The sequence below is a fragment of the Homo sapiens genome, chromosome 1 (assembly GCF_000001405.40).
Source record: "Homo sapiens chromosome 1, GRCh38.p14 Primary Assembly".
In the NCBI taxonomy this organism is placed as follows: Eukaryota; Metazoa; Chordata; class Mammalia; order Primates; family Hominidae; genus Homo; species Homo sapiens.
This window is the reverse complement of record NC_000001.11, coordinates 32,437,904-32,458,346: the sequence shown is the minus strand read 5'-3', so window position 1 is coordinate 32,458,346 and position 20,443 is coordinate 32,437,904. Positions and strand designations below refer to the sequence as shown.

At 44.4% G+C, this 20,443-nt stretch overlaps 1 pseudogene, besides 1 other annotated feature; it reads right to left on the bottom strand.

Annotated features, from left to right (window-relative positions):
- RN7SL122P (RNA, 7SL, cytoplasmic 122, pseudogene) lies at window positions 212-512 on the bottom strand (annotated as a pseudogene).
- Window positions 19,452-20,235: an enhancer, noted in NCBI's record as "OCT4-NANOG-H3K27ac hESC enhancer chr1:32903713-32904496 (GRCh37/hg19 assembly coordinates)". NCBI's record gives its function as "activates a minimal SCP1, AML or CMV promoter by ChIP-STARR-seq in naive and primed H9 embryonic stem cells {active_cell/tissue: H9 hESC(naive and primed)}" and the evidence as "EXISTENCE:reporter gene assay evidence [ECO:0000049][PMID:30033119]".

Below are 20,443 nucleotides of genomic sequence, written 5' to 3'. Positions count from 1 at the left end.
GTGTTGCAACAGATGTGGGCTCCACCTGCCTTCATCCAACAAGGTGCTATAATGTCCTTGCCTATAACCGATACCAAAGGCAAAACCATCCCCTCTGCATCTCCAGGTTCTGGGCCACCATCTCTCCTCTCCTGGGAGGAATCATGAAGTGGTCACCACAAAATATGTTGCACCTCAATGGAAGTCAGTGTTTGTTTGTTTGTTTGCTTTTAGAGATAGAGGTCTCACTATGTTGCCCAGGTGGGAGCACAGTAGCTATTCACAGGCATGATCCCACTACCGATCAGCACAGGAGTTTTGACCTGCTCTGTTTCCAACCTGGGCCAATTCACCGCTCCTTAGGCAACCTGGTGGCCCCCTGCTCCCAGAAGATCACCATATTGATACTGAACTTAATGCAGACACCCAATCAGCATAGTGCATTACAGCCCAGAACTCCTGGGCTCAAGTGATCCTCCTGTCTCAGCCTCTTGAGTAGCCGGGACTATAAGGCACGTGCCACCACACCCAGACAGGGTTTCTTATTAATATTAGTTTAGGCTGGGCATGGTGGCATGTGTCTGTAGTCCCAGCTACTCGGGAGGCTGAGGTGGGAGGATCACTTGAACCCAGGAATTCAACACTAGCCTGGGCAACATAGTGAGACCCTGTCTCTACAAAAAATAAAAAATTAGCCAGGCATGGTGGCACATGCCTGTTGTCCCAGCTACTTAGGAGGCTGAGGTGGGAGGATTGCTTGAGCATGGGGGGTTGAGACTGCAGTGAGCTCTGATTGTGCCACTGAACTCCAGCCTGGGTGACAGAGTGAGGCCTGTCTCAAAGAAAAAATTCCATTTAACCCAAGGGCAACTCTGGGTTGTCCCTGCCAATGTAGGGCACTCACATTTATTCTTAGGTGTATGCATTTTCCCCTGGATTAGGTACAGTGGCCACTGCCTCTTGAGTCAATTCCAAACACCCTCTCAATCTGTATTTTACTCCCAATTGAAGCCCTGACTTTATAGAAAATGTTATAGATGGACATTTGGACAGGATGGCAGGCACAGGAATGGTCCTCTGGTGTGATTGCCTCAATTTGGTTGTTGTTTGATAGTACTTTTTGTTACAGAAAACTTTTCATATACAAAGTACATTTATTGTAAATATCCTTTATGAGATAAAGAAAGTTCCATTATGGGACAGAAAGACTTAACAGCAGGGCTGCAACCCATTCCCTCTCTTTCCTGGGGTCTGGGGAAAAAGAAATGATCCTGGTCAAATCTTAGAAACATGCTACTAACTCATACCATTGGTAAACACATGAATAGAATTTACTGGCCGAAAAATAACAGAAAATCCTTATTTATGAAACATTCTTAACCGGATATACCTGGCCTGCCTAGGTTGCTTACTATACATAATCCTGGAATTTACAGATTTATGAGGAACTTGGCTAGCAAGAAAATGGAGGATAGTCATATAATAAACTGTGTAATTAACTGGATATAAGATGGAGATGTTCCATAACCAAAATGTTTCCCTTTCTATAAGTAATGGCATCCACTCCTTGGCCTTGGCCTTGCTTCAGCATACTCCACAGCTGGGCCCCACCCTGGCCACCCTGGCCTCAATGTCACTAGCGAAGCCTCTCCCGAAAGTTGCTGCTGTTTCCCATTCCAGGGACCCTGTGGCTTCTGGGCCCACCCGCTGCACCAGGGTCATCCGCCATTTGGTGTTTTCTCATAGAAGATGCAATTTGATAATATTTTGTTTAGGATTTTTGTATTGATATCCATGATTGAGATTGACCCTTCATTTTTATTCTTGTCATATTCTTACCAGGTTTGGTTTCATGGTTATGATGCAGCACAGGTGAGCCCTGTCCTGTATCATAACCATGAAACCAAAAGGTGCTTTTAAAAAGTCTTGGAGCAACTTTTATTGAAGCAGCAGTGCACAGCGGCAGCAGAGGTACCACTCCTTGCAGAGCAGGGCTACCCCGTAGGCAGTGTGCCCAGAATAGCAGCTCAGAGGCAGGTCTGCACTCATATTTTTACTTTTAATTATATGTAAATATGATCTTTGCATATAATATAATAAGGGGCAGTTTGTGCAGAAATTTCTAGGAAAAAGGTGGCAACTTCCTGGTTATCAGAGTCATTGCCATGGAAAGGGGTGGTAAAGTCTGGGTGTTGCCATGGCAACGGTAAACTGACATGGCATACTGGTAGGCATGTTTTATGGAAAGCTGTTTCCACCCCAGACCTGTTTTAGCTAGTCCTCAATTTGGTCCAGAGTCTGAGCCCCAGCTCTGGAGTCCAGTCCTGCCTCCTACGTCAGTTATGCCAACTTCATGCAATGCACTGGAGAGTTCTCACTTTTTCTCTTCTCTGGAAGAATTTGTATAGGATGGTAATTACTCAGTCTCTGCCACAGTCCACTTTTTGACTACTCAACATCCACACTCATTCTTCTTGCAAAATATAAAACACATTGATCTTCTCCCTGAGAGGTAATCTAAAGTCCCATCCAAAGTTACTGCATCATACTTAAAGTCTCGTTATGACATGTGGTCTTCTCCATCAAATTCACATGTATAAAGACATTATCTATCATTCAACACTCCCAATATACAATGAGAGAGAAGAAAGGATGACTACAACTTTTTAAAAACCTATCATTCAAAGGCTGGGCACGGTGGCTCATGACTGTAATCCCAGCACTTTGGGAGGCCGAGGCAGGTGGATCACAAGGTCAAGAGATTGAGACCATCTTGGCTAACATGGTGAAACCCCGTCTCTACTAAAAACACAAAAAATTAGCCGGGCATGGTGGCGGGTGCCTGTAGTCCCAGCTACTCAGGAGGCTGAGACAGGAGAATGGCGTGAACCCGGGAGGCAGAGCTTGCAGTGAGCCGAGATAGTGCCACTGCACTCCAGCCTGGGCGACAGAGCGAGACTCAGTCTCAAAAAAAAAAAAACCTATCATTCAAAAAGCAGATATTATTTTTGTTTGTTTGTTTGAGACAGGGTCTTGCTCTGTCACCAAGGCTGGAGTGCAGTGAGCATCAAGGCTCACCACAGCCTCCACCTGCCTGGCTAAAGGGATCCTCCCTCCTCAGCCTCCCAAGTAGGTGGGACTACAGGTGTGCATCACCGGGCTCAGCTAATTTTTAAATTTTTTGTAGAGATGAGGTCTTGCTATATTGCCTAGGCTGGTCTCAAGCTCCTGGGCTAAAGCAATCCTCCCACTTTGGCCTCCAAATTGTTGTGATTACAGGCATGAACCACCATGCCCTGCCAGTTGTTAGTTCTTGATCAACCAATTAGCCAGCCCCTGGATGGATTCTCTGGAAGGATCTCCCTAGTCCATTGTTCTCTATGTCTACCTCTGGGGGGAGGGGGCATTGGAGACAATGTTCTTGGCAGCTGCCCAGCTGTGCTGATTACTAATCTGTTGACTCTTGGCTTTAAACCCACTGTCTATGCTCTGCTTTCTAATGCCAGAGCTGAAACTGAAAACCTCCATTCTTTTTTTCCAGCTGCAAGTGGAGTACACCAGAGGGAAACTGCAAAGCTAGAAGCTCCTGTCAACTTCTTATACCCGTCAGCATCCCCTCAGCAATGATTTTTCACCTGGTAGCTGCAGTTTATTCCAGTATAAGCAGTTGATTTGTTTGTACTTTTCTACCATTCACAGAATCATCAGCTTCACTGTGGTCCCCTCAAAGACACCTGTCACTGCCAAGCAGCCTCCTCGCCTCAGATGTCAGGGTTCCAGCTAGGGTTGCCAGACTTAGCAAAGAAGAACACAGAGCATCAGTTAAATTTGAATTGTAGATAAACAATAAATAATTTTAAAGTATAAATATGTTCCAAATCTCACATGGTGTATAGACTAAAATTATTCATAGTTGGCTGGGCACGGTGGCTCACGCCTGTAATCCCAGTACTTTGGGAGGCTGAGGCAGGTGGATCACCTTAGGTTAGGAGTTTAAGACTAGACTGACCAACATGGTGAAACTCATCTCTACTAAAAATACAAAATTAGCCAGGCATGGTGGCGCATGCCTGTGATCACGGCTACTCGGGAGGCAGGAGAATCGCTTAAACCCAGGAGGCGGAGGTTGCAGTAAACCAAGATTGTGCCATTGCATTCCAGCCTGAGCAACAAGAGCAAAACTCCATTTCAAAAAATAAAAAAATAAAAAATAAAAATAAAGTATTCATAGTTTTTCTGAAATTCTGACTTAAAGGAGTGTCCTCTATTTTACCTGGCAATTTTAGTTCTAACTTCTAAATTGGAATAATTTCACCCTTTTCCCTATGATTCCCAGATATAAGGGTGGCAGCTACTTCTTTTTTATGATTCTCTTTATGATACTTTAATTTCCCTTTTTGCCTTTGGTTCTCTAATACGTGCTTTAAAAATATTTATAGGGCCGGGCGCGGTGGCTCATGCCTGTAATCCCAGCACTTTGAGAGGCTGAGGCGGGTAGATCACGAGGCCAGGAGATCGAGACCATCCTGGCTAATATGATGAAACCCTGTGTCTACTAAAAATACAAAAAATTAGCCGGGCATGGTGGCAGGCACCTGTAATCCCAGCTACTCGGGAGGCTCAGGCAGGGGAATCACTTGAACCCAGGAGGCGGAGGTTGCAGTGAGCCGAGATCGCTCCACTGTGCCATTGCACTCCAACCTGGGCGACAGAGTGAGACTCCGTCTCAAAAAAAAAATACACACACATATATATATATATTTATGTTAGCCAGGCACAGTGGCTCACGCCTGTAATCCCAGCACTTTCGGAAGCCGAGGCAGGCGGATCACCTGAGGTCAGGAGTTTGAGACCAGCCTGGCCAACATGGTGAAACCCCATCTTTACTAAAAATACAAAAATTAGCCAAGGATAGTGGCCCACACCTGTAATCCCAGCTACTTGGGAGGCTGAGACATGAGACTCACTTGCACCCAGGAGACAGAGGTTGCAGTGAGCAGAGATTGCGCCACTGCACTCCAGCCTGGGCGACAGGGCAAGACTCTGTCTCAAAAATAATAATAATAAAATAAAATGTATATTAAATTCTTTCTTAAAATAATTGAAGTCATATTGGATCCTAACTGATAGACCATCAATCACAGCCCACTTCTTGCTGATGTGGATTCCGGGGACACAGGAATGACCTTAAAGGTTGAAAGTTCACAGACTTTTACCAGCCAGGCTCACAGTGTTGTGTTGCAATATGTTCGCTCAGAAATTTAGTAGGTTTTGAAGTCGGGCACAGTGGCATGCACCTGTAGACCCAGATACTTGGGAGGCTGAGGCCAGAGGATCACCTAAAGCCAGGAGTTAGAGGCTAGCCTGAGCAACATGGTGAGATTCATCTCTAAAAAACAAACAAACAAAAAAACTCAGTAGGCTTCTAGCCTCTTTGCTTCTAATAAATATGCTTCTGTATCGAAGAAGTTACAGCCCAAACTCTCCTCTAGACATAGTTTTTTTTTTTTTTGAGACAGAGTCTCGCTGTCGCCCAGGCTGGAGTGCATTGGCACGATCTCGGCTCACTGCAGGCTCCGCCCCCTGGGATTCACGCCATTCTCTTGCCTCAGCCTCCCGAGTAGCTTGGACTACAGGCGACCGCCACCTCGCTCAGCTAATTTTTTGTATTTTTAGTAGAGACGGGGTTTCACTGTGTTAGCCAGGATGGTCTTGATCTCCTGACCTCGTGATCCGCCCGCCTCGGCCTCCCAAAGTGCTGGGATTACAGGAGTGAGCCACCGCACCCGCCTAGACATAGTTTTAAAGCCTGAGAATTGTTGCCGGTATTGCTGATCTCTGAGCTCTGCCCATCAACCCCTCTCCATGGCCACCTCCTTAAGTCTCCTTGAAACAATAGGTGAGCTCATTCCCAAGTGCTGCCAAGTGAAGGGTGCTTTTTTTATAGGTGCCAAGTTTTAACTCCTTCAAGGGTGCTCCTTTGCTGCCATCACTAATAACCTATCCAGCGGGTGCAGTGGCTCACGCCTGTAATCCCAGCACTCTGGGAGGCTGAGGCGGACAGATCATCTGAGGTCAGAAGTTCAAGACAAGCCTGGCCAACATGGTGAAATCCTGTCTCTACTAAACATACAAAAATTAGCCGGGCGTGGCAGGACATGGACATGCTACACAGGAGGCTGAGGCAGGAGAATCGCTTGAACCCAGGAGGCGGAAGTTGTGGTGAGCCGAGATCGCACCACTGCACTCCAGCCTGGGCAACAAGAGTGAAACTCCATCTCACAAAATAAATAAATAAATAAATAAATAAATACCTATCCAATTAGAGACAAACAAAACAGTGTGTAACTGATATAAGGATAGACATAGAGATTAATAGAATCGAATTTAGCGTCCAGAAACAAACCCAAACATCTATGACCAATGAATTCCAACAAAAGAGTCAAGACCAACGGGGAAAGAACAGTCTCTTCAACAAATGGTCCTGGCACAACTGGAAACCACATGCAGAAGAATGAAGCTGGATCCCTACCTCATTCCATATGCAAAAAATGTACTCATAATGGATTACTAGCCTAAATATGAGCTAAAACTATAAACTCTTAGAAGAAAACATAGGTGGCCACTGTGAAAAACCTCAATTCCAGGAAAGCCTCTAACATTTTTAGTTTATTGTTCCTTGTGTACGATTACATTCTTCCCATAAATCCTTCCCTTAGGTCAAAATAACCTTCACGTTATTGAAGTTTGGTGGATCCCTCAAAACCTTAAACATAGGATTAGCATATCAGCCAGCAATTCTACTCTTAGGTATATACCCAAGAGAAATGAAAATATATGGCCAGGCTTGGTGGTTCATGTCTGTAATCCCAGCACTTTGGGAGGCTGAGGTCGGTGGATCACCTGAGGTCAGGAGTTTGAGACCAGCCTGACCAACATGGTGAAACCCCATCTCTAGTAAAAAAACAAAAATTATTTGGGCACAGTGGCAGGAACCTGTAATTCCAGCTACTTGAGAGGCTGAGGCAGGAGAATCACTTGAACCCAAGAGTCCAAGGCTGCAGTGATCAAGTTCACACCACTGCATTCCAGCCTGGGCTACAGAGTGAGACCTTGTCTCAAAAAACAAACAAACAAACAAACAAACAAAAAATAGCCAGGTGGGGTGGCGTGCGCCTGTAATCCCAGCTACTCGGGAGTCTGAGGCAGGAGAATTGCTTGAACCGGGGAGGGAGGTTGCAGTGAGCCGAGAATGCTCCACTGCACTCCAGCCTGGGTGACAGAGTAAGACTCCATATATTAAAACAAATTATATATCCACAGAGTAACTGGCACATGAATGTTTATAGCAGTTTACAACACCACTCATGTAATCCCAGGACTTTGGGGGGCCTAGGTGAGAGGATGACTTGAGCCCAGGAGTTCAAGACCAGCCTGGGCAACATGGTGAGACTATGTCTCTAATTGAAAAAAGAAGAAGAAAGAGAAGAAGAAGGAGTCAGAGAAAGAAGAGGAGGAGTAGGAGGAGGAAGAGGGGAAGAAAGAAGAAAACAGAAAAAGAAGAAAACCTCGGGGTAAATCTTCATTACTTTGGATTTAGCAATGAATTCTTAGATTTGTCACCAAAAACACAAGCAACAAAATAAAAATTGGTAATTATCAATTGATAATTGGTAATTGGACTTTAACAACTTACAATTTTGTTTTATCAAGAATGAGAAAAGATAACCTACAGAAACGGAGAAAATATTTGCAAATCATATATCTGATAAGGTTGCAGAATATATAAAGAACTCTTACAACTGGCCAGGCATTGTGGCTCACGCCTATAATCCCAACACTTTGGGAGGCTGAGGCAGGAGGATGGCTTAAGGCCAATATTTCTTTTTTTCTTTTCTTTTCTTTTTCTTTTTTTTTTTTGAGGCAGAGTCTTGCTCTTGTCGCCCAGGTTGGAGTGCAATGGCACGATCTCCACTCACTGCAACCTTCGCCTCCCAGGTTCAAGCAATTCTTCCGCCTCAGCCTCCTGAGTAGCTGGGATTACAGGTGCCTGCCACCATGCCTGGCTAATTTTTGTATTTTTAGTAGTGGGGTTTCACCATGTTGGCCAGGCTGGTCTCGAACTCCTGACCTCATGATCTGCCCACCTTGGCCTCCCAAAGTGCTGGGATTACAGACGTGAGCCACCATGCCCGGCCAGGCCAAGATTTCAAGACCAGCCTGGGACACATAGCAAGACCCCATCTCTAGAAAAAATTTAAAAATTAGCTGAGCGTGATGACACATCCCCATAGTCCCACCTACTCGGGAGGCTGAGGGGGGAGAATCACTTGAGCCCAGGAATTGGAGGCTGCAGTGAGCTATGATTGCACCATTCCACTCCAGCCTGGGTGACAGAGCAAGATCCTGTCTCAAAAACAAACAAACAAACAAAAAGACTCTTAAACTCAACAACATGTTAGATATGAGTTCTAAATTTATTTTCGAAGAATCAATATGTCCGTATGTTCAATTCTTTGCCTTCTACTTTTAAACTTAACTTCCTCATAAAGGAAAGTTTTTCGATTACCTGCTCCACCCTGACTCATTCCAATTACCTGCTCTACCCTGACTCATTCCGATTACCTGCTACCTGCTCCGCCCTGACTCATTTGCCACCCTGCATAACCATTTTTCCTGCCAAACCACTCACCCAGTAATTCTCTTTAAATTAGCCAGTCGGAATTAGTTTAGCCTGTGCTGTCTAACCCTAGCCAATAGGGGAACGACACAGCAGCAGGGGCCACATGCTTCAGGGATAAAAACCCTTTCCCCTCCCTTGTCCAAGTGTGCACTCACCATTGCTCCATCTGTAAGGGTGCACCCTTCTATAGAAGTACCTTGCCTTGCTGAGAATTAAAAAGAAAATTTTATATTTGAGTGCTGTATCTTTTGCGGCACCAAAACTTTATTTACAAGAATTTGGGGGCTCATCCGGGATTACATTCCCCTCCAGGGATGGTCTCTGGTTCTCTCTCCTGAGGAGGCATGCCCCGCCCCCTAGTGGTGGCCTCAGGGGTGAGAAATCAAGACCCACCCAGTGCAAGGAATAAGCCGAGCTCTCAGCAACATGGAAAAACAAAATGGCCAGCAACCTAGCGTAAAGGAGCCTCACATACTGCAGCGATGACTCTGTAGGGTCCAGCCTGGGAGGGCCTTTGGGTTTTCTCTTCGTGTGCAGAGACAAGAGATCATAGAAATAAAGACACAAGACAAAAGAGAGAGAAAGACAGCTGGGCCTGGGGGCCACTACCACCAAGACGCAGAGACTGGTAGTGGCCTTGAATGCCTGGCCGCACTGCTATTTATTGTATACAAGGCAAGGGGGCAGGGTTAGGAGTGTGAGTCATCTCCAAAGATAGGTAAGGTCATGCAAGTCACATGTCCACTGGACAGGGGGCCCTTCCCTATTTGGTAGCTGAGGCGGAGAGAGAGAGGGGACAGCTTACGTCATCATTTCTTCTATGCATTTCTCAGAAAGATCAAAGACTTTAATACTTTCACTAATTCTGCTACTGCTATCTAGAAGGCGAGTCAGGTGTACAGAGTGGAACATGAAAGTGGACCAGGAGAGTGACCGCTGAAGCACAGCATCACAGGGAGACGTTTAGGCCTCCAGATGGCTGCAGGCGGGCTTAACTGATGTCAGGCTTTCCACAAGAAGTGGTGGAGAAGAGTGTTCTCTAACTCCCCCAGAGAAAGGGAGACTCCCTTTCCCAGTCTGCTAAGTAACGGGTGCCTTCCCAGGCTTTGGTGCTACCGCTAGACCAAGGTCTGCTAAGTAACGGGTGCCTTCTCAGGCACTGGCGTTACCACTAGACCAAGGAGCCCTCTAGTGGCCCTGTCCAGGCATGACAGAGGGCTCACACTCCTGCCTTCCGGTCACTTCTCACGGTGTCCCTTCAGCTCCTAACTCTGTATGGCCTGGTTTTCCTAAATTATAATTGTAGAACAGAAGTTATTAATAAAAGAGTAATGCTACAAACTAATGATTAATAATATTCATATATAATCATGTCTATATTCTATTTCTAATATAACTATTCTTATTCTAATTATTTATTTTATTATACTGAAACAGTTCGTGCCTTCGGTCTCTTGCCTTGGCACCTGGGTGACTTGTCGCCCACACAGACCAAGGAAGGAGAAGCCGCAGGAGCCAGTAAAGTATTTCCTTGGTGGTCGGGACTAAGGAAAAAGCCGCGGGGCGGTAAAGCATTCCTTGGTTAGGACATACCAAGGAGAGAGAAAGTGCAGGGGCGGTAAAGCATTCCTTAGTCAGGACTAGGGAAAGAAAGCCGTGGGGGGCGGTGAAGTATTCCTTAGTCGGATGTCTCGGAGGTTAAAAAGAGGTTAGAAATCCCCATGAGTGGGGATTGAACCCCAGAAAGAGGTGAGAAATCCCCATGGGGGGGTTGAACCTCAAAAAAGAGGTGAGAAATGCCTATGGCGGGGGGGTGGGGTTGAACCTCACACAACCCCCCCCTTTTCTTTCTTCTCGGGGGAAGAAAAAGTAGCTCCACTCCCACTGGTGCCTCCCCTAGGGGAAGGGGAAGGAGGGGGGAGAACAGCAGCATAAGTGGCTGGCAGAGGCAGGGAAAGACCAGCAGAGAGGAAAGAGAGAAAAAGAGAGGGGCAGAGAGAGGGAGAGATAAAGAGACAAAGAGGGAGTCAAAGAGAGAGAAAGAGAGAAAAAAAGAGATAAAAGTAGTAAAGAGAAAACAGTGTACCCTATTCCTTTAAAAGCCAGGCTAAGTTTAAAACCTATAATTGATAATCAAAGGTCTTCTCCATGACCCTATAACACTCCAATATAACCTTGTTTTCAGTGATAACAAAGGTGTAGCGGGAAAGCACTAAGGCCACTGACAACCTTTAGCCTTCCTATCAAAAATCCTTGGCTGGGCTTTGGTGGCTCAAGCCTGTAATCCCAGCACTTTGGGAGGCTGAGGCGGGCGGATCACCAGGTCAAGAGATCATTAGATCCTGGCTAACACGGTGAAACCCCATATCTACTAAAATTATCTGGGCATGGTGGCGGGCGCCTGTAGTCCCAGCTGCTTGGGAGGCTGAGGCAGGAGAATCGCTTGAACCCGGGAGGCAGAAGTTGCAGTGAGCCAAGATCGTGCCACTGCACCACAGCCTGGCAACAGAGCGAGACTCCGTCTCAAAAAATATATACAAAAAATTAGCTGGGCATGGTGACGGGCGCCTGTAGTCCCAGCTACTTGGGAGGCTGAGGCAGGAGAATGGCATGAACCCGGGAGGCGGAGTTTGCAGTGAGCCGAGATCACGCCACTGTACTCCAGCCTGGGCAACAGAGCAAGACTCTGTCTCAAAAACTAATAATAAATAAATAAAAATAAAAATCCTTAACCCAGTGCATTCAGTCTGTAGAGGCAACTGCTTTGCTAGCAGAAGAAAGTACAAAAATAACTTTTAGAGGAAATCTCATTGTGAGCACACCTCACCAGTTCAGAACTAACCTAAGTCAAAAAAAAAAAAAATAGCAAAAAGGTAGCTTACTAACTCAAAAATCTTAAAGTATGGGGCTATTCTGTTAGAAAAAGATGATTTAACATTAACCACTGATAATTCCCTTAACCCAGCAGGTTTCCTAACCGGGTATCTAAATCTTAATTAATTACCATACAAAGGCCCTACCAGACCTAGGAGGAACTCCCGTCAGGACAGGATGATAGATGGTTCCTCCCAGGTGATTGAGGGAAAAAAACCACAATGGGTATTCAGTAATTGATAGGGAAACTCTTGTAGAAGCAGAGTTGGGAAAATTGCCTAATAGTTGGTCTGCTCAAACCTGGGAGCTGTTTGCACTCAGCCAAGCCTTAAAGCACTTACAGAACCAAGGAAGGAACCGTCTATACCAATTCTAAGTTAATTTAGACTAAATAAGTTCTTATTAATAGCAAAGGATAATTGAAATCCCAAACTTACAAGGTTTTCAACAAAAGTAAAATTTGCTAAAAGTTAACAGTGTAACATTTATTATCCTAACTTCTAATATTGTGGCCTTAGGCAGTCTAGTCCACAGACATGAAGGAAGTTTGCTTTGGAGAAAATTAAAAAAAAAAAAAAAAAAGGAGGGGAAGAATTTATATAAAAAGAATGTTATATGGTAAATTCTTATCCTAAAGTAAATTAATTGGTTGTTTAAAAAAAAGGAATGTTTGCAACAAGTCAGAAGGTTGAGGCATGTCGAAGATTGTGAAGTCGTAAAAGAAAAAAGTTATAAAAGGGAATTTATGCAAGAAATGTTGTATAATTTAGAAGTAATTAGGCCTCCTGAATGTAAAACTATCGAAGAAACAGTTTATGTGCAAGTTGTACAAGTAAACTAAAATATACTTTTGGTAAAAGGATTATAAGGAGGCATAAAAATGTGAATTTTTACCTACTTTAAAAGGTTAAAAAAATTGTTTTACAGGTTTAAGCAAGTTTTAAAATGTTAATTGTAAAGGAAATTCTGTGTGTAAATATATTGGCTAAAGTTAAGGGAGTGTCATCCAGTTTTTCTGTGAACTGGACATTAAAATAAAAGCACAACAGGTTTTTCTTAAAGCACTAACCTGTTCTTTAACAAAAATTATAAAAGATTTAAAAGAGCCTATAAAAATCTTACCTTATGGTCAGACGTTAAAATTGAATAAATATGTCTATAAGGTTTTATTAACATTGAGTTTAACATAAATAACACACTAATATAAAGGTGAAATTTAGCTTATCTAGTATAAAAATCATACAGGAAGCACTGTCAAATATAAAGTGGTGTTTGGCTTTCTTTGGTCTAAAAACTAATAAAAATAGGTGCTAAAAGAAATTTCTCAGTAAGAAGGCACCAAGGACGATAAAGTCCACTGCTGATGTCCCCACATTTAAAACAAAAGATCAGTTTCTTAGAAATTATATACTTGGTTTATCTTCCATTTTCCTTTCCCTCAAAACTAAAAGTCTTTTAGCACAGGTACCGCCCCTAAAATTTCTGGTAAACCAGCACCAGCCTGAGAATCATGTTCTCATCAAAGGGTGAAAAGAAGGAAAACTCAAGCCAGCCTGGGAAGGACTCTACCTTATGCTGCTAACCACCCAGACTGCTGTTCCTTCAGTGAAAAGGGGATGGACTCATCACACCCAAGTCAAGAAAGCGCCGCCCCCTCCAGAGTCATGGGCCATAGTCCCAAGGGAAAACCCTACCAAACTAAAGCTAATAAAAATTTAACTCTTTTCATCTATTCTATTACTCTTTCTTCTTTCCTCGCTCTATTGCTGACCATCTAGTTATTAACATAACCAAGTCAATTTCACCTCAAACTATTGCATTTAATGCTTGCCTTGTCATACCCTTTGGGGACTTGCCAAGTCAAAGACAGCTCTCTACTTCAGAAAAGTACCTCTGTCCCTCCTGACTCTGCTCAGACTGGGCATTAGTGAATTGGGACCATTTAATCTGGGGAGATTTCAATAAAGACCCCAGTTTTCAATCATGAGTCTTGCTCCTCGATGTAGAGCTTTTATGCCGTAATTGGTCAAACATTCTGTGGACCACTAAAGAGCAAGGATGGACTGCTCCAACTGGTTTTTGTAATTTCCTAAAACCATACCTTCATTCTACTAGAGGGATAGCACCCACCCCCCACCCCCAAATGTCAGCTAAACCAGTGCAATCCTATACAGGTTATTATCTCAAACCCTCAAAGTTCTTCCCCTTTTATAAGCCAGTACTCTTCTTTAAGCCGGTTTTATGGTATATGGGGGCTAAGGTTTCAGGGACAGACCCTATTGGATTCTTTGAAATGCATTTCTTTGATCCCCCGTCACCTGCACCTTCCTCTAAGCCTTCTTCCAAAACCTCTCACAAACGGAACAATTGCTCCTCCTCCATCTAATGACAAGACCAAGATAGCTATTGTAGAAGTTAAAGACTTAAACTTCGGCAATTAAGACAGGATACCAAGATGCAAATGCCTGGTTGGAATGGATCAAATATTCCATCCATATGTTAAAGAAAAGCAATTGTTATGCTTGTGCGCACGGCAGGCCAGAGGCCCAGATTGTCCCCTTTCCACTAGGTCCTCCAGTCGACTGGGCGTGGGCTTCATGGTGGCTCTTTTCCAGGATTCTACAGCTTGGAGTAATAAGTTGTGCCACACTCTCTCTCTGCTATATCCCAAAGTCCAGCACCTTGCAGGTCAGCCCCCGAGTGCCATCCAGCTTTCGTCTCCCAACACTAAGTTCACTTCGTGTCTCTCACAACAGGAAGGAAACTTAGCATTCCTTGGAGACCTGAAGGGATGCAGTGAAGTTAAGAATTTTCAAGAGCTTATCAGTTAGCCCTTGTTCATCTCCAAGCAGATGTGTGGTGGTATTGTGGTGGACCTTTACTGGACACTCTGCCAAATAACTGGAGTGCTTTAGTCCAATTGGCTATCCCTTTCACCCTGACATTTCATCAACCAGAGGAAGGAAAAATAAGACATCATAAAGCGAGAGAAGCCCCTTATGGGTCTTTCGACTCTCACATCTATTTAAACGCAACTGGAGTCCAACAGGGAATACCAAATCAGTTTAAAGCCTGAAATCAAATAGCTGCAGGATTTGAGTCAATATTTTGGTGGGCGGCAATGAATAAAAATGTAGATTGGAGAAACTACATCTACTACAACCAATAGCGATTTATTAACTACAGTGGAGATGCTGTTAAAGGAATAGCTGAGCAATTAGGGGCTACTAGCCAGATGGCTTGGGAAAATAGGATAGCCTTAGACATGATATTAACAGAAAGAGGAGGAGTTTGTGTCATGATTAAAACTCAGTGTTGTACCTTCATCCCAAACACCACCACCCCTGACGGAAGCATAACAAAGGCATTGCAAGATCTGACTGCTCTATCCAATGAGTTAGCCAACAACTCAGGGGTAAATGACCCCTTTACAGGATGGCTAGAAAAGTGGCTCAGTAAATGGAAAAGAATAATAGCCTCAATTCTTACTTCCCTCACAGCCGTAATGGGTGTACTTTTTCTTGTCAGGTGCTGTGTCACACCATGCATCTGTGGGTTGGTGCAGAGTTCGTAAAAATGGCACTTACTAAAACCTCCCTTAGCTATCCTCCACCTTACCCAGAGAAGTTTCTTCTTTTGGAAAATCAAGCAAAGCAACTAAACCAAGACATGGTAAAAAAGAGTTCTAAAAGAAAGAGCTGTAAGGAAATGCAAAAGAAGGGGTTGTTAGATATGAGTTCTAAATTTCTTTTCAAAGAATCAATATGTCAGTATGTTCAATTCTTTGCCTTCTACTTTTTTTTTTTTTTTTTTTTGAGACAGAGTCTCGCTCTGTCACCCAGGCTGGAGTGCAGTGGCGGATCTTGGCTCACTGCAACCTCCGCCTCCCGGGATCAAGCGATTCTCCTGCCTGAGCCTCCCAAGTAGCTAGGACTGCAGGCGCCTGCCACCGTGTCCAGCTAACTTTTTTGTATTTTTAGTAGAGACAGGGTTTCACCGTGTTAGCCAGGATGGTCTCGATCTCCTGACCTCGTGATCTGCCCGCCTGGGCCTCCCAAAAGGCTGGGATTACAGGTGTGAGCCACCGCGCCCAGCCACCTTCTACTTTTAAACTTAATTTCCTCATAGAGCAACCTTTTTCGATTACCTGCTCCACACTGACTCATTCCGATTACCTGCTACCTGCTCCACCCTGACTCATTAGCCACCCTGCAAAACCATTTTCCCGCCAAGCCACTCACTGGTCACTCGCTTTAAATTAGCCAATCGGAATTAATTTAGCCTGTGCAGTCTAACCCTAGCCAATAGGGGAATGACACAGCGGCAGGGGCCATGTGCGTCAGGGATAAAAACTCCTTTCCCTCCCTTGTCCAAGTGTGTGCTCACCATTGCTTTATCTGTAAGGGTGCACCCTTCTATAAAAGTAACTTGCCTTGCTGAGAATTAAAAAGAACATTTTATACTCAAGTGCTATTTATTTTGTGGCACCGAAACTTTATTTATAACAAACAAAAAGATGAAAAATCTCGTTTTAAAATGGGCAAAAGACTTGATAGACATTTCTCAAAAGAAGAAGCATAAACGTCCAATACACACATGAAACGATGCTCAACATCATTGGTAACTGAGAAAATGTAGGCTGGGCACGGTGGCTCATGTCTGTAATCCCAGCACTTTGGGAGGACAAGGCGGGCAGATCACAAGGTCAAGAGATCGAGACCATACTGACCAACATAGTGAAACCCTGCCTCCACTAAAAATACAAACATTAGCTGGGCATGGTGGTGCATGCCTGTGGTCCCAGCTACTCAGGAAGCTGAGGCAGGAGAATCGCTTGAATCCAGGAGGCAGAGGTTGCAGTGACCCGAGATCGTGCCACTGCACTCCAGCCTGGCGACAGAGCAAGACTCCGTCTCAAAAAAAAAAAAAAAGAAAGAAAATGTAAATCAAAACCATAATGAGATACCACTTCACACCTTCACACCCAACAGGATGACCTTCATCAGAAAAACAGATCGGGCATGATGATTCATGCCTGTAATCCCAACACTTTGGGAGGCCGAGGCAGGCGGATTGCTTGAGCGCAGTTCAAGACCAACCTGGGCAACATGGCGAAACCCTGTCTCTACAAAAAATACAAAAATTAGCCGAGTGTGGTGGCACGTGCCTGTGATCCCAGCTACTCAAGAGGCTGAGGTGGGAGGATCACTTGAGCCTAGGAGGCGGAGGTTGCAGAGAACCGAGATCGCTCCAGTGCACTCCATCCTGGGTGACAGAGTGAGAGTCTGTCTCAAACAAAAACAAAAACAAAAACAAACAGATAATAACAAGTATTGGCAAGGGAAGAGGACAAAGCGATTCTATTCTGGATGTTAGTCTACCATGTTGACTTCTGATTAACCTCAGTTCCAGGAAAGCCTCTAAGATTTTTAGTTTCTCGTTCCTTGTGTAAGATTACATTCTTCCCATAAATCCTGCCCTTAGGTCAAAATAACCTTCATGTTCTTGTACTCTCCATGAGATCTGCCTATAAGCAATTGTCCTACACATCCCTTCTGAATCACATATGCCCTTTCCCTATGGTAAATAAGCCCTGGGTTTGGGGGGTAATGGCACAGGTAACCATTATCTCATCTCACTGCTGCCCAAGACAGACGTGGCTTCTGTTCGTAAGTCCCTATTAAATGTCTTTTTTTTTTTTTTTTTGAGATGGAGTTTCACTCTGTTGCCCCAGCTGGAGTGCAGTGGTGCCATCTTGACTCACTGCAACCTCTGCCTCCCGGGTTCAAGCGATTCTCCTGTCTCAGCCTCCCGAGTAACTGAGATTACAGGCACCTACCACCATGTCCAGCTAATTTTTGTATTTTTAGTAGAGATGGGGTTTCACCATGTTGGCCAGGCTGGTCTCGAACTCTTGATTTCAGGTGATCCACCCACCTCAGCCTCCCAAAGTGCTGGGATTACAGGCGTGAGCTACCATGCCCAGCCTGTATTTTTTGTCTTCAAAGAAAAAATTAAAATAGGCTGGGCACAGTGGCTCATGCCTGTAATCCCACCACTTTAGGAGGCCAAGGTGGGTGGATTGCTTGAGCTGAGGAGTTCAAGACCAGCATGGGCAACATGGTAAAACCCTGTCTCTATAAGAAATACAAAAAGTAGCCAGGTGCAGTAGCATGCACCTGTAGTCCCAGTTACTTGGGAGACAGAGGTGGAAAGATCATTTGAGCCTGGGAGGTCAAGACTGCAGTGAGCCGTGATCACACCACTGCACTCAAGCCTGGGTGACAGAGTGAGACCTTGTCTCAAAAATAATTAATTAATTAATTAAATAGTGTTGAGGTCTCACTGTATTGCCCAGGCTGGTCTCAAACTCTTGAGCTCAAGTGAGCCTCCTGCCTCAGCCTCTGAAAGTGCTGTTATTATAGGTGTAAGCTACCATGACCAGCCAAAAGGTCACATTTTGTATGATTTCTTTTATGTAATTTATTAGTTGAGATTCTCTAAAAAACAGAACCAAAAGGAGAGAGAGAAATTGATTTATTATGAGAAATTCCTCATGGTGAAACCACCTTTGCAAAAATTATGTCAGTGAGAAAATGATGACAGTGGGAAGACCTGATTTACTCTAGCCAATCCCCCTCTTACCTTTAGCCTTGCTTTGGGAGACATTTAGGTTATAATGTAAATGATAATAGCCTTTCCCCAAAACTCAGCCACCTTTGTAAATCTAATGAGAGACCACCAGGTTAGGGGGAAGAGAGGAGCCTGAATTCTGCTAAGGTGTAGACATAAATGATTGCTAGCCATTATTTCAGGAGTCACAAGATATACAACTTTCCCAGTTACTCCTATAAATAACATCACTATTGTAGAACCCAAGATTGGCATTGTGAGATATCTTTTCAGGTTTTTTGCATGTCTGACACCTAGTTCCACCTGGACCCATCTGCTGATGGCTCCTGTAGCCCTACCCAGAAGCAATTTGGCATGCAGGAGGATGATTTCCCACACCCCTATAATTACACCCCCAACCAATCAGCAGCAAGCACCCATTTCCTAGCCACCCCTCCCTCTTCCCCCAAACTGCCTTTGAAAAATCCCTAACCTATGAGTTTTAGATGATATTGATTTGAGTAATAACTCCATCTCTTGCACGACATGACCAGCCTGGCATTAATTAAACTCTTTCTCCACTGCAATGGTGTAGTCTTCATTTGTGCAGCAGGCAGGAAGAACCTGTCAGGTTGTTATAATGGAATCATAAAGGCTTAGAAACCCATGATCTGCCATCTGTAAGCTGGAGACACAGAAAATCAGTGGTGTAATTCAAGTCAAAGGCAGTAGAACCAGAGGAGATGAAGGTATAAATCCCAATTTAAGTGTAGCATAAAATAAGATGTCCCAGCTCACCGGGCATGGTGGCACACGCCTGTAATCCCAGCACTTTGGGAGGCTGAGGCAGGCGGATCACCTGAGGTCGGGAGTTCGAGACCAGCCTGACCAACATGGAGAAATCCCATCTCTCCTAAAAATACAAAATTAGCCAGGCGTGGTGGTGCATGCCTGTAATCCCAGCTAGTTGGGAGGCTGAGGCAGGAGAATTGCTTGAACCTAGGAGGCGAGGGTTGTGTTGAGCCGAGATGGCGCCATTGCACTCCAGCCTGGGCAACAAAAGCGAAACTCTGTCTCAAAAAAAAAAAAAAAAAAAAGATGTCCCAGCTCAAGCAGTAAGACAGAAAAGAAGCTGTGGGCTGCGAACAGTGGTTCATGCCTGTAGTACCAGGACTTCAGGGGGCCAAGATGGAAGGATTGTTTGAGGTCAAGAGTTGGAGACTAGCCTGGGCAATATAGCAAGACCCCTTCTCTACAAAAAATTTAAAAATTAGCTCAGCAAGGTGGTGCACACCTGTAGTCCCAGCTACTTGGAAGGCTCAGGCAGTGAGTTCAAGGTTGCAGTGAACTCTTGTCAATGAAAAGAGTTGAACTCTGTAAAATATTTGAAGAGATTTATTCTGAGCCAAATATGAGTGACTAATGGCCCGTGCCCATGAGACACCCCCAGGAGATCCTGAAAACATGTGCCCAAGGTGGTTGGGCTACAGCTTGGTTTTATACATCTTAGGAAGACGTAAGACACCAATCAATACATGTAAGATGTAAACTTTCTGGTTTGGTCCAGAAAGATGGGACAACTGGAGGTGGGGTGGTAAAAGGACTTCTAGGTCATAGGTGGATTCAAAAATTTTCTTTTTTTTTTTTAATCCTATTCTGTTGGTCCTGAGGCTCCAAAAATATTCGAATTAGCAATTGGTTGAAAGAGTTTACCTAAAGACCTGGAATCAATGGAAAGGAATGTCTGGGTTAAGATAAGGGGTTGTGAAGACCAGAGTTTTATCATGCAGATGAAGCCTCCAGGTAGCAGGCTTCAGAGAGAATAGATTGTGAATGTTTCTCATCAGATTTAACTAGCCTGTTCTGCCAGTCTTAAGGTCTCTGCATTGATGTTAATCTGGCCAGCTGTGCCTGAATTCCAAAAGGGAGGAGGATATACTGAAGCATGTTGGACCCCCACTTCTCATCATGGCCTGAACTAGTTTTTCAGGTTAACTTTGGAATGCCCTTGGCCAAGAAGAGGGCTCACCTGTCAGTTGTGGGTTTAGAATTTTATTTTTGGTTTACACTATCATTGTGCTGCTGCACTCCAGCATGGGTAACAGAGCAAGACCCTATCTGTCTCAAAAAAACAAAAGAAAAGAAAAGAAGCCCTGACTTTCATGCATGTCTCTGTGAAGAGACCACCAACCAAGCTTTGTGTGAGCAACATGGCTGTTTATTTCACCTGGGTGCAGGTGGGCTGAGTCCGAAAAGAGAGTCAGTGAAGGGAGATAAGGGTGGGGCCGTTTTATA